At 37.1% G+C, this 26,956-nt stretch overlaps 1 long non-coding RNA gene across 3 annotated transcripts in view, besides 1 other annotated feature; it reads left to right on the forward strand.

The window, feature by feature from the left end:
- Positions 950–1,120: a silencer, noted in NCBI's record as "fragment chr4:80582899-80583069 (GRCh37/hg19 assembly coordinates)". NCBI's record gives its function as "represses an EF-1alpha promoter that drives an FKBP-Casp9 reporter gene in an ReSE screen in HepG2 liver carcinoma cells {active_cell/tissue: HepG2}" and the evidence as "EXISTENCE:reporter gene assay evidence [ECO:0000049][PMID:32094911]".
- Positions 2,912–26,956, forward strand: part of LINC02469 (long intergenic non-protein coding RNA 2469) — a 32,748-nt gene continuing 8,703 nt past the window's right edge. For 2 of the 3 annotated variants that reach the window (XR_007058159.1, XR_007058158.1), the window contains exons 1-2: positions 2,912–3,053; positions 7,194–7,332. This is a non-coding gene — a long non-coding RNA (long intergenic non-protein coding RNA 2469). Of the gene's footprint in view, positions 3,054–7,193; positions 7,333–25,888; positions 26,555–26,956 lie in introns of those variants that run through there. The other variant, XR_007058157.1, reaches the window with a different exon arrangement.

Consider the following 26,956-nt stretch of genomic DNA (forward strand, 5'->3'; position numbering starts at 1 on the left):
GGGGAAGGAGGCTGTATCCTGCAAAGCCACAGGGGTGGAGCTATCCAAAACCATGGGAACTCACCTCTTGCACCAGCGTGACCTAGCTGTGTGACATGGACCCAAAGGAGATTATTTTGGAGCTTTAAGATTTGATTGCCCCACTGGATTTTGGGCTTGCATGGGGCCTCTAGCCCCTTTGTTTTGGCCAATTTCTCCCATTTGGATTGGCTGTATTTACCCAATGCTTGTACCTCCATTGTATCTAGGAAGTAACTAACTTGCTTTTGATTTTACAGGCTCATAAGTGGATGGGACATACCTTGTCTTAAATGAGTCTTTGGACTGTGGACTTTTGAGTTATTGCTGAAATGAATTAAGACTTCAGGGGATTGTTGGGAAGATGTGATTTGTTTTGAAATGTGAGGACATGAGATTTGGGAGGGGCTAGGGTGGAATGATATGGTTTGGCTCTGTGTCTCAACCCAAATCTCATCTTCAGTTGTAACTCCCACAATTCTTATGTGCCCTGGGAGAAACCTGGTGGGAAGTAATTGACTCACAGAGGTAACTGAATCATGGAACTTTTTCATGTTGTTCTCGTGATAATGAATAAGTCTAATGAGATCTGATGACTTTATAGATGGGAATTTCCCTATACACACTCCCTCTTTTTGCTTGCCACCATTAAGACATGACTTGCTCCTCCTTGCCTTCTGCCACGATTGTGAGGCCTCCCCAGCTATGTGGAACTGTAAGTCCATTAAACATTTTCTACTTCCCAGTCTTGGGTATGTCTTTATCAGCAGCATGAAAATGGACTAATACAGCTGGCAAGGCTGTGGAAAAAGGAACACCTTTACAATGTTGGTGTGAATGTCAATTAGTTCAGCCACTTTGGAAAGCAGTTTGGAGATTTCTTAAAGAACTGAAAACAGGCCGGGCACAATGGCTTATGCCTGTAATCCTAGCACTTTGAGAGGCCAAGGCAGGTGGATCACTTGAGATCAAGAATTCGAGACCAGCCTGGTCAACACGGTGAAACCCCATCTCTACTAAAAATATAAAAATTCGCTGGGCATGGTAGCAGACACCTGTAATTCCAGCTACTCGGGAGGCTGAGGCAGGAGAATTGCTTGAACCCGGTAGGTGGAGGTTGCAGTGAGCTGAGACTACACCACTGCACTCCAGCCTGGGTGACAGAGTGATATTCCAACTCAAAAGAAAAAGAAAAAGAAAAAAAGAACTGAAAACAGAACTACCATTCTACCCAGCAATCCCATTACTGGATATATACCTGAAGAAAAATAAATTATTCTACCAAAAAGACATATGTACTTGTATGTTCATGGAAGCACTATTCACAATAGCAGACATGGAATCAATCAACCTAGGGCCCCAGCACTGTTGGATTGGATAAAGAAAATGTAATACATATACATAATGGAATCCTATGCAGCCATAAAATGAATGAAATAATGTCCTTTGTAGCAACATGGATGCAGCTGGAGGCCGTCATCCTAAGTGAATTATCATGGGAACAGATCAGATAACCAAATACTTCATGGTGTCACTTATGCATGGGAGCTGAACATTGGGTACATATAGACATAAAAATGAGAACAACAAAACATTGGGGCTACTAAAAGGGAGAGAGGGAAGGGAGTCAAGGGCTGAAAAATTACCTTTTGGGTTCTGTGCTCATTACCTGGATGATGGGATCATTTTTAACTCAAACCTCAGCATCACTCTATATACCCAGGTAGCAAACCTATACATGTACCCTCTGAATCGAAAATAAAAGTTGAAATTATTTTAAAACAATAATTTAGTAAAAGAATAATGTAAAAGTGCTTTCTTAAAACAGAATTTGGCTGGACTTTTCCCTTAGTTTCTGAGAGGTAGCCTGCAAATCTCTGGAATTTCTGGAGTTATAGGAGTGTCTGTCATTTACGGGTAGTTTATGCTAAAAAGTGACACGTCTATCTGTAGATAGTTTGTAATAAGGCAGTGACTTACAATGTGAGCTAACCACACCAAAAAGACCAACCATGTGATTAGAAGACTGAAGCTTTGAGCCACATGATACCTATCTGACCTTCAGGGAGAAAAGGGGATGTGGGCTTTCAGTTTAATCACAGGCCAATGATTCAATCCATCATTCCGATGCAATGAAACACCAATAGAACTCTGGACACTGGAACCTGGGTGAGCTTCCCTGCTGGCAGTACTTCACATGGTGAAAGGGGTACATTCTGACCCATGGGGAGATGATATTGAAAACTTCATGTTTGGACCCTGTCAGATTTCGTTTTATGAGTCTCTTCTTTTGGCTGGTTCTGATTTGCTTCTTTTTTGATTTAATAAAACTGTTTTAAGTATAGCACTTTCCTGAGTTCTGTGATTTGTTCTAGACAATTATCAAAATGCCAGGGATATTGGAAGCCACCAGATTTGCAGTTAATTGGTCAGAAGTAATGATAGTCTAGAAACACCTAAGTTTGTGGCTGGTGTTTGAAGTGAGAGCAGTCATGTGGAAGAATGTGCCCTGAACCTGTGAAGCGTGGCTTAACTCCAGGTAGTTAGCATCAGAAGTCATTTTAACTGTTCAGAGCAGAGTCTGCAACTGCAATAGCTTCCCCTGGAATGAGAATGGGCTGAGATAGCCAACACAGATGGGATCTGTGTTCTCAGATAATTGCAAAATCACCTTGTCTCTTTGAGGCAACAAGAATTTTACCCTACTTTCTAATCACAGTTTATTTGTGTGTATGTATGTAGTCAAGTACTCCTGTTAAATCATGTTCACAGCACAAGAATCAAATAATTATTTGTTGATATTACAACTATAACTATTATTTTAACTTTTATACCTTTCAAGTGTTTGAAGAAGAAATAAAATATTTATAAGTTGTATGCTATGTAAGGCTGTGACATCACGTATTTGTTCCTTTGCTCCACTCTTACCAACCTTTGCTCTGATTTGTGCCATGAGGACTAGAAACCTGGAAACCTACGTTTCCCAGCTACTCCATCTCCCCACACCGCAGGCTTTCTGTTATGTTCTGATGATGGTAAGCAGTGGAAAGTTATAAACTGAAAGGAAGGATGCCATTTTTCTATTGCTTTACTCTTTTAGGCTGTACTTGTGGTAGTAGAATAAATAGCAAAGGTGCAGACTCCTTCACAGGAGTATGGATTACAGGTTTCTGCTCAGGTTTCTGTTGTAGAGGTGGTGGAGGCATTAGGTGTGTCACGTGGCCTTTAGCAAAGTTCTTTTGGGCTCCGGCTTCAGCAGGTGTAGCTACAGGCCTTGGGATTTTGCAGCGTTAGTTGTGGTGTGAGCTTCTGGTTTCCTCCAACTGATTCCAATGGCAGCAGTTTTCTCAGCCTCAGCTACAAAGCGGTCATGCAATCTGGGTGATTTTCCTTTCTCCTTCCTAAGGTGATAGCAGTTTTGTGTATTTACTATTATCTGGTTTAACTCACCTCCTCATTTTGCTCCTCCAGCCACTCCAATACTTTTTCATCCAATTAGATGCATTTCTCTATTTGAAACACCAATATTTTGTAACCAGAGAGACTGACACAGAGGGCAAGTAACATATTCCTGAAAATTTTGCCAAATGGAATTTTAAAAAATCAAATAACATTTTATATAAATAGGAAAGCTCATTAGGAAAAAAAGGAATCCTTATGATAGTAATACACCATTTCTAATTTTTCTAGTTCAAGCACTCATTAAATAATATATCTGCTACTTAATATATTATTTTTATATCTGCCTTTTTTTTAAAAAAAAAAGCTGGGTGCACCTGTAATTGTATTCCTAATGTATTCTGTTTTCATATAGCTTGCAAATTATTTTGATAATTTTTAGGCAAAGTATATTGTAAATATGAAACACAATCTGGTCAAATTTAAGAACTACTACAAATAGCCTGAGTGACAATGGGGACCGACTTGTTTTATCTACTTAATTTTACAGTTCCGATCTATAACATCAGAGCTGGGACTTGAAATAAAAAGTTCAAAAGTCAATTCCCTAGGCAAAAATATACTAATGAAAAAATGATATGGGAATTTAATTATGCAAGTAATTGTTTAGCTTTTTTTTTCCAATTAGCAATGGTCTTCACATTAAGATTTATTTTTATAAATGAATCTAAAATGGTGCCAGATGAAATCTGAATGTTTCTATGAATTTTGATACTGGAAATCTTTGAGAATAAGTTTGAAACAAGAAACCAAAAACCAAAAAAGCAAAGGAAAACTAAAATAATGTTTTAATGGTCATACTCAATTCATAGATTTTTAAACAAAAGAATTTTGGCTTAGTGAAATGTAATAAATAAGGAAAGGAATTCCAAAAGAATTTTAGTAACTGCTAGAAAATAGTGTTTTGTACTTTCTATATTCTGCTTTACAGCCTTAGTCTTCCTTCAATAGTAAAATAAGAATCGTCATTTTATGGTGACCTCAGTTTTAGCAATGTTAAAATAAATTTAGATGGAGATCAGGCCTGGAGAATCCCTAAGCAGACAAAGCCAGTTAGGTCTCATAAGTTACCTTAACCTTTCCTGATTTTCAAACTTAAGAGAAACTTAGCAAGCCTTTTTTTTTTTTTTGTAATTACCTATATTAAGTAAATATGAAACTTCAGGCTAATCAAACAGAAGCTGCCAATCAACTTACAAGTATATGTATTACTAGAGACTTTTTAGCAGGATAGACCTAATAAGGCAACTGTATAACTGTAACTAATCAAATATATATATATATATATATATATATATATATATATTTGCTTTATTTCCATGTTTGCCCTATAAAAAACCTTCCTCTTTAGTTCTCTTGGTGAAGCCTGAAACCTCCTTTAGGTTGGAGCTGCCCAGTTCATGAACTGCTATTTGCTCAAATAAACGCTTTAAAAATGTCATTTTGCCTCAGTTTACCTTCTAACAGCAGTACATTTTATTTCAATTTTAACTTGTTTGAACGTATGTGATCATCATTTACTACATGTTCCTATTTTGTAACTAATATTTTAATTGGGAACAAGGTATATTTACATAGCATTATAACAGCCAGATAAAAAACATTAAAAAAACCTTTTAGAAAAAAAAGTGTCTACTTTTGTGTATTCAGATGTTTTTGTTATATAAATGAAGTAACTCACTGTTGATGTTTTTAATCCAACTATTTGTAACACATAAAAACAAATACCTTACCTTGCTTTATACTTCAGTGTTCTTATCTATATATTAGAGTTTGCTTGGTGTTTTATCAGTAAGATAACACCAAAATACATAAATTATTTTGAAATTTAGAAAGGAAAGCTCAAATAATTTTTAAAAACACAATCACACCTCTAAAAAAAGCTTGAATAGGTAACTATAGGTAACTACAACCATAAATATAGTCATATTTTTGACCTAGTAACCCTACTTCTAGTTATTCATATGAAGAAAACAGCACTGTAAACAGAAACACATGTGTGTGTATGGATGTGTGTGTATATACATATGTTGATTATCTTCATTAGAATAAAAATTTTAAAAAATCAAAATGTTTAAATAGGACACGATTTGGTAAGTTATAGCACAATATATAAATACTGTTATGATTATGTAAATATAGAAAAATGTATTTGATAGAATGTAGAATGAAAAATCAGAATATATTTGCTATGTAACATAGCAACTATGAAACAAACATGCATTTGGTGAGGTCAACATGCAAAATGAAAATAAGATTTAAAATTATCAAGTTATGTTTTGTTTTTTAAATAATCTGTTTTGTTGATACTTCATTTTAATTTAAAATAAAAGGCTTCCTTTTTGTTAAGTTTATCCATTTGTAAAGGAATCAAAATTATGAGTAAAATGTGGGCAGACCAGAGATGACTTTAAGTTTACTATTAGAGTTAAAATGTCTAAAATCAAAAGATCTTTCTGATTAGATTTAAAGTCAATAAAGAACAACAGCCCTTTCTTCCCATCTCATGTTTAGAACTAGTTGAGAATAAGGCATAAGAGGTGGATTAATGAAGAAGATGTTAGCATTGTTACTAAAAAATGACTAGAGGGCATGGTTTTAGATTTTGGCTGGAAAAACTTGCTTCTTTCTAACACTCTCTGAATTCCTTTCTATAGAGACTCTGGGATAGACCATGGGAGTGAAAGTCAGGAGAGATGCACTTACCGGGATTATAGTTTACATCGATTCAAAAATGAAGGAGGAAGTAAAAGACAACCAATCCCCAGAGTATAAAGCTGTTTCCTAGACAACCTTCACCCTTCACCCACTGTGAAATATCCACCAATGATTATCGTCCACATGCAGATTCCTGTATCCTCCCTCTGACACCTCAGTTATCAAATATAAGCAGATGAAAAACACATATTTATATGAAATTTTATTCTATTGTAAAACTAAAAACAAGGTCATGAAGGAAAAGAGTATCAGAATGATTTTTTCTTTGCAACTTTATTTAACATTATTTTCTCAGTGAAAGAAAATTATCTTTAAAATATTTGGCTTTGTGCAGGGCTGAGACTAGGGTGAGTGAGGCACTGGCTTTTCAAGCAAAATTCAAGGGAGTGCCAAAAAACTCAGTAATAAACGTAAATGACACTTTATGTGACATTTTAATAATCGATTGGTGTGAAAAACCTATGATAAACAAAATATCAAAATGTCAAGTATCAGTATTACTACATTGATAGTAATACTATCAGTACTGCTGACAATATTGCTGTCAGTGTTGTATCAGTTGTATCAGTACCAGTGTTGCTGATAGTATTACTATAAAGACAGGATCGCTATTACTGATTTTTACTTCTGCCTCAAGCTCCCATATGGCTTGGCATGTCAATGGTTTGTTGACTGAAATTTATATATATATAATTTTTTATTTATAAAAATATAAATTTTTTAATATATATTTTAAAAACTATTTTTCAAGCCATATTTTTTTATGTGAAGAATCCAAATTCTAGGGTTTAGATCTGAGAAGTAACAAGAAAAGCATTTTAAAAACTTTCAAGGTTCAAGGTTGTTTATAAAAGTATACCTGGTATGTCATTTTCCATGGCAGCAGTTGAAAGTCAAATGCCAGAAGATTGCGGGTAGGAGGCAGGAATAGCTTACAGCTCTCACTCAGATGGATGGAGCAGCACGTGGAGACTCATGTTATCAACTTTTGCTCCAAGAACTACTGCAGGAACATATCAGGAAAGCCAAGAGAATCCACAGACCCTTTGAAGGAACTGTACCACCCCTGCAGACTCCCTGAGATGCCAAAAACTGTGAATCTGCTTGCTTTCTCAACTGGGAGGCTCATGGTCTGGGGTAAGTTCTCTTCCCTGGTGACTGGCTGCCTGGAAATAGACTCGGTGCTGTTGGGGGGGCCATGGTGAGAGTGAGATTGGCCTTTAGGACTGTGGGATGAATGGCAGCAGGGTGAAGCCTGTAACTTCTGGTTTTCCCCCACTTCCCCGGTGACTTGTATGACTCAGTAGAGGCAGCCACAATCTCCCTGGGAATATAACTCCATTGGGCTAGGAACCACACCCCCATCCCCAACAGCAGCCTTAGCAAACCTCACTCAAGGAGAGGCTGAGGTCAGACACACCTATCCCTGCCCCTACCTGGTAGTCTTTCTCTATCCCCTCTGGTAGCTAAAGACAAAAGTTATAATCTCTTGGGGGCTCTGTGGCCCTGCCCACCACCTGAGAAACCTGAACATTTAACCAGGTGTCCCTAGGGCAAGTTTGCAACCTCCCTATGCAGGACTGTAGCTGATGCACTCTTGAAAACACCACCTCCTGGCTTGAGGCCAACCAACACAAAACCAGTGCACTGAACAAAAACACAACCGAGGACCCTCAGAGTTCACTTCACTCTCCTGCTACTTCCACCGGAGCAGGTGCTGTGTATCTATGGTTGCAAGGCCTGAAGATGGATCGTATCACACGACTCTTTGCAGACACTCCCCAGTACCAGCCCAGAGCCTGGTAGCTCTGCTGAGTGGCTAGACCCAGAAGATCAAAAACAATCACTACAGTTTGGCTCTCAGGAAGCCCCATTCCTAGGAGAAGTGGGAGAACACCACACCAAGGGAGTACCCCATGGGACAAAAGAAACTGAACAGCAGCCCTTGAATCCCAGATCTTCCCTCTGACATAGTCTACCCAAATGAGAAGGAACCAGAAAAACATTTCTGGTAATATGACAAAACAAGGCTCTTTAACACCCCCAAAAGATCATACCAGCTCATCAGCAATGGATCCAAACCAAGACTAAATCTCTGAATGGCCAGAAAGAAATTCAGAAGGTCAATTGTTAAGGCAATCAAGGAGGCAGCAGAGACAGACAAAGTCCAACTTAAAGAAATAAAAAATATACAGGATATGAAAGGTAAATTATTCAGTAAAATGGATAGCATAAATAAAAAACAATCACAACTTCTGGAAATCAAGGACACACTTAGAGAAATGAAAAATACACTGGAAAGTCTCAGCAATAGAATTGAACAAGCAGAAGAAAGAACTTCAGAGCTCAAAGACAAGGCTTTTGAATTAACCGAATCCATCAAAGACAAAGAGAAAAGATTTTTTAAAAAATAAGCAAAGCCTCCAAGAGGTTTGTGACTATGTTAAAAATCCCAACAAAATAATTATTGGTGTTCCCGAGGAAGAAGAGAAATCTAAAAGTTTGGAAAACATCTTTGAGGGAATAATCGAGGAAAACTTCCCTGGTTTTACTAGAGATCTAGACATGCAAGTACAAGAAGCTCAACTAACACCTGGAAAATTCATCACAAAAAGATCAGTGCCTAAGTACATAGTCATCATGTTATCTGAAGTCAAGACAAAGAAAAGAACCTTAAGCGCTGTGAAGAAAAAGCATCAGGTAACCTATAGAGGAAAACTTTTCAGATTAACAGCTGATTTACCAGCAGAAACTCTACAAGCCAGAAGAGATTGGGGTTCTATTTTTAGCCTCCTTAAACAAAACATTATCAGCCAAAAATTTTGTATCCAGCAAAACTAAGCTTCATAAGTGAAGGGAAGATACAGTCTTTTCCAGACAAACAAGTGCTGAGAGAATTCGCTACTACCAACCCAGCACTACAAGAACTGCAAAAAGGAGCTCTAAATCTTGAAATAAATTCTCAAAGTACACCAAAATAGAACCTCCTCAAAGCATAAATCTCACAGGACCTATATAGCAACACAATGAAAAAAAAAAGAAAAACAAAAAAACGAGGTATTCAGGCAACAACTAGTAACTAGTGTGATGAATAGAATAGTACCTTATGTCTCAATACTAACATTGAATGTAAATGTCCTAACCCTGACACTGAAAATACACAGAATGGCAGAATAGATAAGAATTCACCAAATAAGTTTCTGCAATCTTCAGAAGACTCACCTAACACATAAGGACTTAACATAAACTTAAGGTAAAGGGGTGGAAAAAAGCATTCCATGCAAATGGACACCAAAAGTGAGCAGGAGTAGCTATTCTTACACCAAATGAAACAAACTTTAAAGCAACAGCAGTTAAAAAAGACAAAGACAGACACTATATGATGATAAAAGGACTAGTTCAACAGGAAAATATCACAATCTTAAATATATATGCACCTAACACTGGAAGCCCCAAATTTATAAAACAATTACTACTAGACCTAAGAAATGAGATAGATGACAACACAATAATACTGAGGGACCTCAATACTCCACTGACAGTACTAGACAGGTCATCAAGACAGAAAGTCAACAAAGAAACAATTGACTTAAACTATACACTGCAACAAATGGACTTAATGGGTATTTACGGAACATTCTACCCAACAACTGAAGAAAAAACATTCTATTACTCAGCACGTGGAACGTTCTCCAAGATAGACTATATGATAGGCCACAAAACAAGTCTCAGTAAGTTTAAGAAAATCAAAATTATATCAAGTACTCTGTCAGACCATAGTGGAATAAAATTGGAAATCAACTCCAAAAGGAACCCTCAAAACCATGCAAATATATAGAAATTAAATAACCTGCTCTTGAATGATCATTGAGTCAACAATGAAATCAAGATGAAAATTTAAAAATTCTTTGAACTGAACAATAATAGTGACACAACCTATCAAAACCTCCAGGATATGGCAAAAGCAGTGTTAAGAGGAATGTTCATAGCATTAAATGCCTACATCAAAATATGAAAGAGCACAAATAGACAATCTAAGGTTACACCTCATGGGACTGGAAAAGCAAGAATGATCCAAACCCAAACCCAGCAGAAGAAAAGAAATAACAAAGATCAGAGCAGAACTAAATGAAATTGAAACAAACAAACAAACAAAAAACAATACAAAAGATAAATGAAACAAAAAGCTGGTTCTTTGAAAAGATAAATAAAATTGATAAGCCATTAGTGAGATAAACCAAGAAGAGAGAAGATCCAAATAAGCTCAATTAGAAATGGAAGAGAAGATATTACAACTGATATCACAGAAATGCAAAAGTTTATTCAAAGCTACTATGAACATCTTTATTTGCATAAACTAGAAAACCTAGAGAAGATGAATGAATTCCTGGAAATATATAACCCTTGAAGGTTAAACCAGGAAGATATAGAATCTCTGAAAAGGCCAATAACAAGCAGTGAGATTGAAATGATAATTAAGAAGTTACCAACAAAAAAACAAAGTCCAGGACCAGGTGGATTCACAGCTAAATTCTATCAGACATTCAAAAAATTAGTACCAATCCTATTGACACTATTCCAATAGACAGAAAAAGAGAAAATGTTCCCTAAAACATTCTATGAAGCCAGTATTACTCCAATACCCCAAACCAGGGAAAGACATAACAAAAAAAGAAAAATACAGACCAATATCCCTGATGAACATAGATGCAAAAATCCTCACCAAAATACCAGCAAATCAAATCTAACAGCATATCAAAAAGATAATATACCATAATCAAGTGGGTTTCATACTAGGGATACAGGGATGATTTAACATACACAAGTCAAGAAATGTGATACACCACATAAACAATTTTTTTAAAATCACATGATCATCTCAATAGATGCAGAAAAAGCATTTGACAAAATCCAGAATCCTTTATGATTAAAATCCTCTGTAAAATCACCATAGAAGGGACATAACTTTAGGTAATAAGAGCCATCTATGAAAAACCCACAGCCAACATTATACAACATTATACAACAGGGAAAAATTGAAATGATTACCTCTGAGTAACCATTAAGTCGATTGTTTCTTTGTTGACTTTCTGTCTTGATGACCTGTCTAGTGCTGTCAGTGGAGTATTGAAGTCCCCCAGTATTATTATGTTGTCATCTATCTCACTTCTTAGGTCTAGTAGTAATTGTTTTATAAATTTGGGGCTTCCAGTGTTATGTGCATATATATTTAAGATTGTGATATTTTCCTGTTTCCTCTGAGAAAGGGAACAAGATAAGGATGTCCATTTTCACTACTTCTATTCAACATAGTACTGGAAGTCCTAGCTAGAGCAATTACACAAGAGAAAGAAAAAGGATCAAAATTGGTAAAGAGGAAGTCAGATGTCACTGTTCGCTGAAGATGTGAATGTATACCTAGAAAACCCTTAAGACTCATCCAAAAAGCTCCAAAACTGGTAAACGAATTCAGCAAAGTTTCAGGATACAAAATTAATGTACACAAATCAGTAGCTCTGCTATATACCAACAGTGGCCAAACTGAGAATCAAATCAAGAACTCAACCTCTTTCACAATAGTTGCCAAAAAAAAGTACTTTGGAATATACTCAATCAAGGATGTGAAAGAACTCTACAAGGAAACTACAAAAACACTGCTGAAAGAAATCATAAATGACACAAACAAATGGAAACACATCCCATGCTCATCAATATTGTGAAAATGACCATACTGCCAAAGCAATCTAAAAATTCAATGCAACTTCCATCAAACTACCACCATCATTCTTCACAGAACTCAAAAAAACAATCCTAAAGTTCATTTGGAATCACAAAAGAGCCTGCATAGCCAAAGCAAGAAGGACAAATCTGGAAGAATCACATTACCCAACTTCAAACTATATTATAAGACTATAGTCACCAAAACAGCATGGTAGTTGTATAAAAATAGGCACATAGACCAATGGAACAGAATAGAGAACCCAGAAATAAAGCCAAATACTTACTGCCAACTGATCTTCAACAAGCAATCAAAAAAATAAAGTGGGAAAAGGACACCCTATTAAACAAACAGTTCTGGGATAATTGGCAAGCCACATGTAGAAGAAAGAAACTGGATCCTCACCTCTCACCTTATACAAAAATCAACTCAAGATGGATGAAAGACTTAAATCTAACACCTGAAACCATAAAGATTTGAGAAGATAACATCAGAAAAACCCTTCTAGACTTCTAGACATTGGTTTACACAAAGACTTCATGACCAAGAGCCCAAAAGCAAATGCAAAGATAAATAAATGGGACTTAATTAGCTAAAAATCTCCTGCACAGCAAAAGAAATAATCAGCAGAGTAAACACAGTGGGGTGTTAAAAAGGATTCACTGGGGTGTAGGAAGTAAAACCAGCTTTAAATAGATAACATAGTTGTCTATGGGTTATCATTTCACCTAGCACAGGCGTTGGCAATTTTTTTTCTGTAAAGGAACAGACAGTAAATATTTTAGGCTTTGCAACCCATATGGCGTCTATCACAACAACTCAGTTCTGCTTTTGTAGCACAAAAGCCGCCACAGACAATATGCACATAAATGGGCATGGCTGTGTTCCAGTAAAACTTTACAAAAACAGGTCGTAGGCCAGATTTGGCCCTTAGGCCATAGTGTGCCAATTCCTGACCTAGTACAACATAGTATGGATTCAGGAAATTAGAATGTCTTTTCAGGTTAAAGATCATCAGACTCGAAACTCCATAAGAATAGGAACGATTGATTCGTGGAGTTCCTGGAGTTTGTGTTTATCATTGGGTCTCCAGGGAAGAGCTTCATTGGAGTTCTCCACTTTTTCAGGAAATGTTAGCTTCTGAACTGAGCAGTGCCTGGAACTTTTAGTAACACTCAGTAACTAAATGGAAAATGAGATATTTAGACATCTTACTTTAAAACTGTGTTATAATCATAAGACTGTACCTTATGCCTGCTCTTTCCACATCTGTTTTTACACAATAGATAAAATTTTTGGAGAGTCTCACCTTTTTTCTCTCAGCATAAGGTTAGTGACAGAGAAAGAGGAAGTGCTACAACTGTTAAAGAAGGAAATATACACAACCTGGATATGGGGTTCTTTACGCCCAAGCCCACAAAAAAAACCACTGAGGCCTATGGGAGTAAATATCATATATCATTGTAATTTATTAGAAACAAAGGAATGAGGAACCACTTCGGCAGTAGTGTCTTAACACGGCTGTATTACAGTGGTGATACCACATATGTACCTTCTGAAATTTGTACATAAGCACAGTGCTTAATATGTAACTTTAAGAAAAATGTGACCTAAGACATTAAACATACCTTCTTTTCCTGAACATCCTCTACCTTTTCATTCCTTGCGTTTTTTTATGAATGGTTTCTTTTCAGGTGTGATTTTTCTGAAGTTATTAAACATACTCAGGAGAGATTTTATATAAAAATCCGGACCAAATCCAAAGGCTAGTGTTGTCACTGAATAGAGACAGCATTCATTGACAATTTCACTTTCAGTCAATCCATTAATCTGTAAGGGGGCTTTCTAAAACTGTTAGTTATGAAAGGCTTTTTTTTTTTTTTTTTTTTTTTTAAGACGGAGTCTCGCTTGTTGTCCAGGCTGGAGTGCAGTGGTAGCGATCTCAGCTCACTGCAAGCTCTGCCTCCGGGATTCACACCATTCTCCTGTCTCAGCCTCCCGAGTACCTGGGACTACAAGGCACCTGCCACCATGCCCGGCTAATTTTTTTGTATTTTTTTAGTAGAGACGGGGTTTCACTGTGTTAGCCAGGATGGAAAAGCTTTTAAAAGAATAAAAATATATAGAAAACAGTGGAAAAGTAGAGTTTAATGTAGAGGTTTTTTTGTTTTTTGTTTGTTTTACTTTTCTAAGAATGTTTTTAAATAGCTATATCCCTACACAAATATATTTTAATTTCAGAATACAGAAAATACACATTTAAAAGTTTGTGATCTTCTTGCACACATATGTTTATTGTGCACTATTCACAATAGCAAAGACTTGGAACCAACCCAAATGTCCATCAACGATAGACCGGATTAAGAAAATGTGGCACATATATACCATGGAATACTATGCAGCCATAAAAAAGGATGAGTTCATGTCCTTTGTAGGGACATGGATGAAGTTGGAAACCATCATTCTGAGCAAATTATCGCAAGGACAGAAAACCAAATACCACATGTTCTCACCCATTCATAGGTGGGAACTGAACAATGAGAACACTCCCAAACACCATCACACACCAGGGCCTGTCGTGGGGTGGTGGGAGTGGGGAGGGATATCATTAGAAGATACACCTCATGTAAATGATGAGTTAATGAGTGCAGCACACCAACATGGCACATGTATACATACATAACAAACCTGCACATTGTGCACATGTACCCTAGAACTTAAAGTATAATTAAAAAAAAAAAGAGGCTTTTGAGGAGCCAGCTTTCAGGGAGCTACTTGGGAGACTAAGGCAGGAGGATCACTTGAGCACAGCAGTTTGAAGCTGTAGTGTGCCATAACTGTGCCTGTGAATAGACATTGCAGTCCAGCCTGAACAACATAGTGAGACCCCCATCTCTTTAAAAAAATCATTTTTTTAAAAGACTTTCAGGAATAGAGTCTCTCTCTTGCCTTTCCATTTTCTGCCATGGGATGATGTAGCAAGAAGGCCCTTGCCAGATGCTGTCCCCTTGATCTTGGACTTCCCATGCTCCAGAACTGTGAGAAATAAATTTCTGTTCATTATTAATTAAAAAAAAATTTGTGATCTTAAGAAAATGATAAAATCTTAGTATGAAAAATAAGATAAATATTAACTGAGCAAAATTTAGGATAGGTTCTATATTAACCTAGACCAATAACATTATGATATATATATATATAATTTTTCAATTCTATTGATTTACATATCAAAAATTAATACATGCTTATTATGCCAAAGTCTGTGTTTGAACTTGCGAAAACCACAAGTATGCATTTGAAAGCACCCCAACACTGAAAGACCTTGCTACATCGTCCAGGAAATCAATTGCTCACAAATAATATAGGGAAGTAAATAAGCAAAAATGGGTAAGATGAGAAAGAGGCAGATTTGCTCAAAGCAGAAAATATGGGCTAAGTGTAAAGGGGCCAAGCCTCAAAATTACCAGTTGGAATGTTGCTATCATAGAGAAGAAGATCTCCATTCAAATCCCTTTCCAATATGGTTAATGGTAAAGAGCCCCACTGGGGCATTAGTCAAAAAAGCAGGGTGATTGGAGACACTACTCATAAGTGTTAATGACGAAGGAGAATATATACAAAATTGCTAATAGCCAGATTGGAAACAGAATTCAAATGGGATCACTCATTTTTCCTTTCCCTGCTCTTTTTTTTTTAAATTTGCATTGTCATAAAATAAAATGCAGTTTGTTATCTATAGGTGGCAACATTTAGACTGTTCATTTTCTGACATTTTCTGAATTACATTTGGAAACAGATCTACCACCATCCTAATGGTGACAGCAAAATATAGAAATGAGAGAAAGCGCAGGAACTGGAGTTCTGAATAGAGTTTTCAAACAAAATATGAACACAGTAGCAAACATCTAGAGTTCACCTCTACCTTAAAATTATTCCTAGCATTTAGTGACCAGAGTTAGACAGTCTTATTTGAATCTGTAAAAGGCTTGGGCATTTCCACAGCTGCTAGGTCAAGGTTGGGTCATCCATGATCTTAAAGATGCTCCAAGAAACAGTCCATATTCTCTAATGTTTATGTCCTGAAAGAAAGGATCTGGTTTGTCATTTTTGTTCTGATTCCAAATGTTACATAATTAAGAGAGCCTGGGCTTCTAACACACTCAAAAGCTGCGTGAGTCATAAGGTTCAGTGTCATCCTTTTGATTCAAGCTAATTCCAAAACTATATTATGCATGGATCAGTGACCACGTAGGTGCAAAGGAAGGAGGTTGTGACAATTGACTGGAAATGGCTCTGTTCACCTGAGACCAGAAAGAGGATTTTATTAGTAGAAGAAAAGAAAAGCCAAAGATATATAGGATCTGTACATTAGGAGAACTCAGAACAGGTTGTATTCTAGTTTGTAGTGTTCTGAATGGTAATTGTGCATTTGTATATGGTTTTTAGTGATAATGTAATACAGTGGCCCCCACTTATCTGTGATTTCACTTCCTGCTAATTTAGTTACCCATGGTCAACTGCAGTCTGAAAATATTAAGTGGAAAATTCCAGAAATAAACAATTCATAAGTTTCTAAATGTATGTTTTCTGAGGAATGTGATGAAATCTCCAATGCCAACCCACTCCATCCTATACAGGATGTGGATCATCCTTTCATCCAGCATATCCACGCTGTAAATGTACCCACCCATTAGTCACTTATCCTCTGGATTATCAGGCTGTGGTGGTATTGCAGTGCTTGGGTTCAGTACTATCGCTGGTTTCAGGCATCCACTGTGGGTCTTGGAGCGTAGGCCCCGTGGATAAGGGAGGACTACTGTATAATACTGATTGTGGGGGACGTACTGAATAAAACTGATTTCTCTTTTCTTTTCAGCTGTAGTTAATTTACCTATCCTTTTCCTGAAATGCCAGTTTTGGGTATTTCATGAAAGCAGAAGACTAGAAAGATAATAAAAACCAAATGAGTGCTTGGCACATTTCTCACACTGTAATGAAACCAGAGTAATTGAGAGAGTCAGCAAATCACAGTTATCAATCAAATGGTGAATCTGGTGGGTACAGATGCCAAGTCTGATTTGCTGTTGTGGTCCAGAGAACCTGTTTTGTTTTTGTTATTTATTATTTTTGTTTGGTGTTTGCATTATTCTGAAAAACAGAAAAACACACACATTGTCCCACCAGGTGATACTTACATTTCAGCTTAAGAGTGTGGATCCAAAGTGGTATTGTAGGCTCAATTTTTAAAAGGAATCTGCCTAACAAATATCTGGACTTAAAGTGTAAAGGAAGTAGAGGAGGTGATTGCAAATATAAATAAAAAGAAAAAAGCCACTTCAATTAGTGCCTCAGTTAATCTGGATAGATTGAAAACTCACTTCCAATTCAACTCTAAAATTAATCCTCTTTGATAATATAAGGGACATTTTATGCAGTGATTTCAGAAATAATGAATTTATAAAAAAAAATAAGGAAAGGAAAAGAAAAAAAGAGAAGAAAAGGTTAAATCCCAGATCTTTGGATTTAAAAAAAAACTGTTGTCCCTCTTAAATTTTCATTTACCTCCTTTATTTGACCTTACTCCTATCCAGAAAACACAAGTAAATTGTCTTTTTTTCTTCCTTTTTTCTAATTAAAAGATTGTTTTATATATTCAGGCTGGATTCAGAACAAAAGTAATTCTCACCCTAGTGTTGAATTTTTAATATGTGAAGCTCAAAAGTTTTGAGATTTTTGGTTCCAAACATTTTACTAAATGTTAACGTTGACAAATGAGTCACCCAAGTCTTAGTTCTTATCATTTAGTTTCTGATGAAAAAAGTAACTGGCTTTAACCACAACTTAAGGGAAAGAACAGTTGCTTCTCTCCTACTGATAAAAATTTCAGCACTATAGGCAAGTTCCCTTGATGCTAATATAGATATGGTGGGCCCAACAGACAGGTGGAGTTGGCAAATAAATGTTCATTTCTTCCTTTTATGACTCAATGTTATCATGAGGGAAATTGAGAACATTTCCACAACACAGCTGTGTGGGATTCTCCAGCTCGTCTATCAAGATAACACAGTCTTTTACTCCCCTGCAGTTTGGCAACCAGTGGAGAGCTGAGTGGGAGATGGAAGATTACTCTCGAGTTCTTAGCTCCACTTGAAGTGAAAGTCGTGTTTCAGAGTTTGCTACTTCTGTTGATCAATTCAAAGTCTCTGGAGTTATTTGCAGGTTACTCTAGCTAACAGAATCATATTATCAGGACTGGATACAATTTTACAGGTCATTTAATCAGTGCTTGTGCCCCCTGTCTAGCTCACTGCAAGTCCTCTTCCAGCATGTGACTGTATACCTCTGATGAAAGAAAACCTAACACTTTCCACAGATACATTTCTATTTTTAAAGACCTCTATTTTTTAGAAGATTCTTCATTATATTTATTTTAAGCCTACCAAAATACAATTTGTATTTACTGTTTCTGAGTTTGCACTTTGAGGTCATTCATAGGAAACTGACTCCTTTTTATGCAAGTACACCCTTAAATTCTTGAAAGAAATCGTCATGTTCATTAGGTGGTTGTTCCTGTAATAAAGTCTCAAGTCTTTTCTCTTTTGGATGGGATAACTCAGCTCAATACTCAAAGCGTGATTAGATCATTAAGCAGTAAAATGTGCCTGTTACTTTGCTGACTCAATGATTGGACTTTGTCAACTAGAGTTAAGTACTTCCTATGATCTCAGCCCAGCTACAGAAAGAGAAATGGAAGACATTGCTGGCCATTTGTAGGAAGCAACGTAGTTAATGCAGACACATAGTAATAATTTATGCTTTGAATTTCTTCAAGTTTTGAAGGAAAAAAATTACATAAATAAAAATCAAATTTGGTCAGAAATGGCTCATGTGTGTAGCCCCAGCACTTTGGGAGGTCAAGGCAGGAGGACTGCTTGAGGGTAGGAGTTTGAGACCAGCCTGGGCAGCATAGCAAGACCTCATCTCTAAAAAAAAAACTTTAAAATAAAATGATCTGGGTGTAGTGGCACAGATCAACAGTGCTGATTTGTTGTCCTAGCTACTTAGGAGGTTGAGGCAGGAGATTGCTTGATCCCAAGAGGTTGAGGCCAGTGAGCTACAGTTGTGCCACTGTACTCCAGGCAGGGTAACAGAGAGAGACCCTGTCTCTAAAAACAACAACGACAACAAACAAGAAGTCAAATTTGCCATCTTCCCCCATTAGTCAATGACCTTTCCACACACTTCCAGACTCAAAATTTTATAAGTATCCTCTCATCTTCTTCATCTTTGCTATCAAATGAGTTGTCTAGTTTCACTTCATTTCTGCTACTGCCATTCTTGTCCCTGGGGCCTTATTACTAAACTAAAGGCTTAAACTCTTACAGTTTGTTTGATGTGACTTTAGTGACATCTAGCTCAACCATGCACTTATCTTGATTCCTAAGTCTTTAAAATTCTCAAATGCAGTTAAATTGAGTGAGAGCAGGAGGGAAAGGAAAATTATAACAAAGTGACAAACTCATGCCAAGTCAGAAGAGGACTCTATTTTCAAAGGTTCTCGCACAGAAGAATACAAGTTCAGCATTGCCAGGGGCCAGGTTTTTGAGAGAATTACAAATTCCTATTTTTAAATAAACTCCTTTGAGTTTTCTAAAGGTTAGTGTTCTTTAAGGGAGTCCTTTTTGCCAAATGTATCTTCTGGCTAGCTCTAGCCTATGGACCATCAGCTTGGGACCATTGTTCAATACTCAAATGTTCTCGGTCATCTCAATAATTCTTATAATGACCTGAAAAGTATTAAAGAGAGTATTACTGAGACACTAAAAAAGTTATAATACAATATGGAACAACTTTACAAATACTTATAATACAACATTTAACAAAAATATGAAAATTATGTATCGTTTGTTAATAATTATATCCTTAGGATACTGCTTTTGAATAAATAAAGACAATAAAAAATGAACAATTTTATAAGTTTGGATGGAAAGAATGTGGGTGACTAAAATATTTTCTTCCTTCTCCTAGTCATTGTTTTCCTAATTCTCTTCTATGAGACTATATGACTTCCCAAAAGTACAAAATCCATAAATATACCTGAATTATTATATGTAAGTGAAAGGAAAATCAGAACAGAAGACATAGGAATTTACTGGTGTATTAACCTTCCCTTGCAGCATGTCTGTACTCTTTAGTCTTATGTTCTTTTTTTTAAATGCAAACATGTGCTCAAACTGTTTTTTTCAGAAGCAATTTTGGTGGAAAGACTGGAAATGTTGTAACATCAAGTTGAAGGGGATAAAAATGGAAAACGAAAATACTATGTTTACTAGTAAGAGTGTGAAAGAGGGAAAAACATATACCAGATATAAGGTTGATCAAATTAATTTTGCTATGTTGGCTCTTTCTAGTGAGATTTGATTTACTCAAAACTAACATTTTTTGAGCACTTCTTCAAGGTACTATTGCTATCTTCATATATTTTCTCCTTATTAATGATAAAGAAAGTTAGATCTGGTGAGGTTAGCCCAACATCACAGAGCTCCTAAGTACCAGAGCCAGGGTCCATCCCGGGTCACACTTCCTCCGCAGTAGACATGACTGCCTATTGCTTACAAGCCAAATAATCTCAAGTCAACATTGAAAAAACTCTGATTTATGTATGCTAATTCCCAACAAAGCAAAATTAGGACTTGGTGCTTTTCTAATATGTCTCTCTCTCTCATCAGATTTGCGGCCTATCAAATGGACCTGCCATCATGGTCCGTGGTGCTTTCACTGGACATAATTATGCTTCTGCTGAGGTTTCTTTCTTTTCTTATTTTTCCCCTTCTCTTTGCACCCAGCCATACAATGACTATGACTGGCCATTTTGAGTGTCAGAGGTCACATACCCTTCCCTTCTGTACCAAAGTCATTATTAGAAAACTCAAGACTCTTGGATTTGAAATTTCTTCCTTGAAGATAATATAAAGAGCAAATAAGCCACAGCCCTGTTGCCGTAAATTCAATGTAGCATGACAGTGTGAAGGCTAGCTAACTCCACATATTAAAAATATTCTTTTACTTTTTATTCTTGATTAGTTGACACCTAGAGCCCAGGAGAGACTGCCCTTCTCAGGGTTACTTAATAGGGATAGAAATGACACATCTATAAGGGTGTCTTTTCTATGCAAACTAACCCATCCAGAGCCCATATCCCAACTATCTCCTCCATCAGATTTTCATACTCTAGGCCACTATTCTCCATCCTAGTCACCCCAGGGCCAGGTACCAGACAACTACAGATAGCCCCTATACCTTAGAGCCTGCTGGAATTATTCATACTAGGAAACCCTAAACCTTTTTACTCTGTCTCATTTATCCCTTCCCATGGAACAATGCTCTTGTCCATGTTTTCCCCTACACCTTCTGTTTCCTGACTGACTGTGGTGATGCCCTGTGGGCCCCCCAACAGCATGGCAAGATACGTGCCCTCCTCTTGGTATCAGTGAGTATCACAAGCTGTCTTTTCAATGGCAGTCATCTCCTAATGTGTTGGTCCCACCATACCTGAACAAAAACGAAATCTACATTTTAAAACACTCCAGAAAAGCCCAGTCTCATGGCATGATTCACACTCCCTGGAATGCTATGTGTGTTATTATGATTCTGTATGTGGTGAGCATTAAAAGAGCACAGCAGAGTCAGCTGTGATTCCAACTGGGGCTTTTACAGCCTGGTTTGGACAATAGCTCTTAAATGGCTCCACTTATATTAAGAGAGGATTCTTCAGTGTATTGATAATGTACACAAAATCTTTGTTTGTCATACAGATGATTAAAAATATCAGTGCGTCGTGTCAGTGTTTAAAACACGGGATGGGGGAACAGCCTGATGTTTCATCACAGGTCTGCCCCCAGAAACTATGTGAGCTCATGTAGGCACTGACCTATCACATACTAAATGGGTACGTCTAAGCTCTTTGCAAGAAGTTAAAAGTAAAACCAATAGAACGAAGAGTTGCAAGACTAAAACATAAATGTTTAAATGCAACTCTCTCTGAGAAAAGTTTTGAATGCCTAAAATGAATTCAGGCTGAATAGAAAATGCTCACAGCTACCACATAAAGCATTGTTTATTTTCTCTTGTAAAGACTCATTCCCTCAATATCTTTTCTTTGCCAATTTGTGACGTTCTCTGGGGCAATTTCCAATCACCGCTGCTGCCAGCCAGCTGATCACCATAGTAGTCAACACAATGACCCAGGAGAGCACCAAGACACCCCGCTGTCAACCGGTTTGCAGGATGTAGCCTCAGCAAAGTGAAGAGCTCCAAACACCCCTGTGCTCACTGGCTCAAACTTGGCAGTTTGGGGAGGCTGCCAGGACAACACCAGGAGGGGAGCCAGGGGAGCAGTGTGCCAGAGTCAGCAGGTGGCAATGGCCAACAGCAGCTCAGAGAGGCAGATCAGTCTTTCCAGCAGTGAAGACAGCCAACCGAGGTGGGAGCCAATGCAGCCCTTGTTATCCAATGTATAGGCATTGTTATAAATGACATCAGAACCCCCTGTACATTTCTCATTGGGCTTGTTAGCCAGGTGGCAGTCTTACCAGTCATCATTGCTCCAAGCAGAGCGTATGTTATAATGTTTAACTTACACTTGAGGCCAGAGAATTACATTTCTTGGAATAATGTCTTGGAGACACAGTAACAATGAGTTCTAGTATTTATACAATCCTGTTCTATAAAGCAGTTAATGTACCTGACAGACAGCACTTAAGTGAGATTTAGACCACTGCTCACAAATTGGTAAGGAAATGCTATCCAGCCACTTAAAATATTTGAAACCTAATATGTAGATATAATATTTTAGAATTCAGATCATGTAAAAATTGAGATAAAATAAAAATCCAGGAGTTCTGAGTGTCATTTTTATACACAATCCAACATATCAGTTGATGTAGTATATAAAAGTCTGAGTGATGCGAGTACATTTGTGTTCATGTTCTATTCCCCTGAAATGGCAAGACTGAAATACAGTAGAATACTGGCCTCTTTTCTTAATTTCAATCCAGAATAGGATTACATATGCATTAGGGAAGTGAAAATTATTCATTATAAAACTAAATCTTTTCAAGAGCAGAGATAATATACAAAACAGATGTTATAAAAGATACTTTTCAAGTTGGAATGTTCCAACAAGTTGTAATATGTTTCTGAAATGAGCAGAGCCTATCAATCAAGAAATATTCTTGCTTGCTTATAACAAATTAAGCACTCTTCTAGAATTTGTATACTTGAGGAATACATTTAAAAAATTAAAACGGACTATCTGTGTTTTTGAGGATATTACAATCTTGTTGACAGATCAAAACTAGCAAGAGGATTACCAGCCAACATTAAAGGAGACCCAGTTCCAGAATTTTCTTGCTATCAGCCCAGGAGGAGAGAAAAGATTATGGAGGCCAGGAGTAGTACAGGAAGACTGCACGGAGGAGGTGGGATAAATTGCCAGGACTTAGCATGGGTAAGATTGGACTCCACAGCCTTCATTATATGCAGCCCTAGACTAGGAGTCAGAGTTTCATCTGCCACTATATAATGGTGATTACTATGATAAGTTCAATCATTGAGAATCAATCACAAGCCAGGAACTATATCAGAATACTGTGAACAAGACAGGTTGTGATCGTTTTTGGAAGTAAAGACTCCAGTAAATATCCTATAAATGCTGCTAGGTTCACTCAAATTAAATCTGGCTTGTTCTCTGTGCCTGAGGACGACCATGTATGTCCAACAAAACAAACTTACCCAAAGGAAGAAGCAGACCAGATTGTCTTAGTTAAAACTTCCTTCAATTTCCTATCTTTACAGACAATGCTTCTATGGCTTTTTAGAAAAGCAGAATCAACTAAAAATGTGGTGGGAAGTTTTTCTTACTCCCCTCAATCCCCAGGGAATGAATACTTGAAGTAGTTTAACTAGAATCTTAAGACTCAGGAAATAAAGATTGAAAATCGCTGGATAGGCGAATTTTGTCAAAACCCTTTTGATTCTATGATCTTGAAAATAAAGCTAAGAATATCAGGTGGTAATTTCAAGTTCAAGCATAGGCTACATTGTTTCTAAAACATTGTACAAAACAACTGATATGCAAAATTCTGGAACTGGGTATAGAACCACTCCTCTTCCTGCCACCATACTCAGGTCTTCTCGTCTTCCCAGCACTACATTTGCCCCCACTCCACCCCTCCACCCCCAACACACATTGGTTCATCTTTACTCAGGTCTGTGTATGTGTTTTATAATTATGTTACCATATCCCTCCTTTCTTCCTTTTCTTTTGCTATTAACAACTTTAATTTGCTAATACAGGATTGTTCATACTTGTGTTCCAAAGTTTCGAGAAAAGTAGACTCCAGCCATTCTGCCTCACAAGAAGCAATGGACACTTCAATATATCAGAGTTATTTCACACACCTCCTTGCCATTTCTAAGTGACATCTAGCACAACTTGTTTAAAACTGCCACTTCCTGGCTTCAGATTTGTTTCATGTTAGATTTGGGGAAAAAACACATAGGACATTTTGAGCAGACTTCCTCTCTAATACCGTTCTCAGCTCATCTCGTTTCATTCAGTTCTGAGACATCTGGGCAAACTCTAATGAATTACTCGCAGCACTCTCCTGACATTTGCCGGGCCCATGGTAATATTTCACATTGTTCTTCATATTTGAAAATACTGCTGATGCTGTCAGGATGGTAAACAGGATGAGTCCAAACTGAGACAGTCACACATACTCACCTCTCTCTCTTTTGGGATGACACCAGTTTCTGAGAGAGCTGCTGGGAGTTTGGAGGGTGATCTTGAATGTAGAACAGAACCATATGAACAACTACTGTTTAAGGGGTCTTGTGGGTACCTACTAGCTGAACAGGACTGAAGTCACAGTTCCTTTTGTATCACCAACTCACCTCAAGAGATAGTTCAAAAAGGTGAATTGACATTCTAATACAGAGGCTTCAAGCACAGCCAACTAAAATGGCTTCTTTCGGTTCCTCAAGCGGCCCAAGCTTGTTTCAGCCATAGAACACTTACCCCAACTGTTTCCTCCACCTGGGACTCTAATGCTTCCCTTCTTCCCAGCAATGGCACTTTCTTATTCTTTAGCTCTCAGCTCTCAAGTAAATCTTCCTCAGAGAAGCCTTCCCTGATCAGTCTGTCTAATGCAGCATGCTACTCCCACCCCAGTATTCTCTAATACATTTTCCTGTTTTATAATTAATATCTTTATAACACTTATGAAAATCTGAAATGATCTGATAAATTTATTTGTTATTTATTGTTTTATTGTATTTTATTAATTGCTCTGTATTAAATATAGGATTCTGGTGATCATTGACTTAATTAATGTACCATTTGAATAGTGTTTGACGAATCTTATGTGCCCCCCAAACTGTAGAATAAGTAAATAATATACATTTTGCTTTCCAATACATCTTCCAGTTATGGTTTCACTTATTTTTCTCCTCACTCAGTCCTTCCCTTACTTTCTTTTCCATCCTGAAGTTGGAGAAGAGAACTTAGATGGTATAATATGCTAAAGTACAATTGTAGTTAGGAAACATTCTCTGGGAATCCATAAAAATATATTTTCATATAACACCTCTCCCATTTCTGCCCAGTTTGAAAGAATTACCGATTTGCTGGAGATTAGTGTGTCAGCCTGTTACAGATTAATTGCCCAGGTGGCCCTTGTCTGCATGGGAAGTAAGAAAGCAGCAGTACAAATCAGCCCAAGAGAGAACAAACTAGAATCATCACCTGCTCTTTTTCTCTTTGAATTTGCAAATACCAGCCATATATAGTCTCACCATTACAGGAAAGCAAGAGACCTGTTAATTTTTATTATGAACAAATTATAGCTGTTACCTATAATGTCTGATATTTTTACTTTGTAATCCTAAATTCCAAATTGCTTCAATGAACAGAAGAAAATCTTAGAAGCCCATATGGATGTCAAATTAGCAAGTGAAGACTTGGAAACACCACGTCTGAGCCCACTGAATCAGATAAGTAGAGATGCAACTTTGAAGTACTGGGATCTCAACTTATCTCATGTGTAGAAACACAAGAGTTCTATGTATATCATGAATTAACACACACAATCACAAGCTGAGAAAGGAAGAAATAGCATTGGAGCATTGGTACACTATCAAAATCAAAACAAAATAAAAAGGAATAAAGTAAAATGAGCACATATTGAAGTACATAGTATATCTACAAAATATCTTGACAAAGCATAATCTGACCTTAATACATCTTTTTTAATGGGTAGATGATTTTGCATTAGAATCTTACATAAGATGGAGGAATTGCTTCAACAGGGCAGCACTTCTCTGAAGAGCCATTGTGTTTGGCCCATCTGCTAAAGAACTGTGGGGAATAACGTCTGCCCTACTGGCCTCAGCAATCCACTGCATTAATAGAACATAAGCGCTTATGCAATGGCACTGGATCTGTGGCAGCTGTTTGTTCAATGTTTCATGCTTTTAGTCACATCTGCTCCAAATGAGTGTTAATATTACAGTGGCATCCACTAAGGATGGGCTCTGTCAGCTTTGCTGAGGATCAGTCTGACCCCTGAAACAATGGAAAAGCACTTTGTCCCAAAGTACCATCTTTTAAAATATCTGTATCCTCTTAACCTGCAGGTTACACCATCATACCCTCTCTGCCTTCAGCTTTCTGCTCTTTAATCCACACCCCCCACCCCAACAAATGAAAACCCAAGTCAGTGAATCTCAAGGAGAAAAACTGCATTTATTTCTAGCACCCTGTCCAGCAATGTCAGATAACAGTTTATTCATCCCCCGGCCCCTGGATGACATTGAAGCATATCAACAGTGACAAAAGTATATTGAATAATTATCTTGAAATTAATACATTATCCCAAACTTAAATAAATGTCATCTGATCAATATATCTTGGAATGGAAAGGGAAGAGAATGTGAAGGGCATCACTTCATTATTCATTAATTTTAGAGTAATGTAGGCAG

Source organism: Homo sapiens, chromosome 4 (assembly GCF_000001405.40).
Source record: "Homo sapiens chromosome 4, GRCh38.p14 Primary Assembly".
In the NCBI taxonomy this organism is placed as follows: Eukaryota; Metazoa; Chordata; class Mammalia; order Primates; family Hominidae; genus Homo; species Homo sapiens.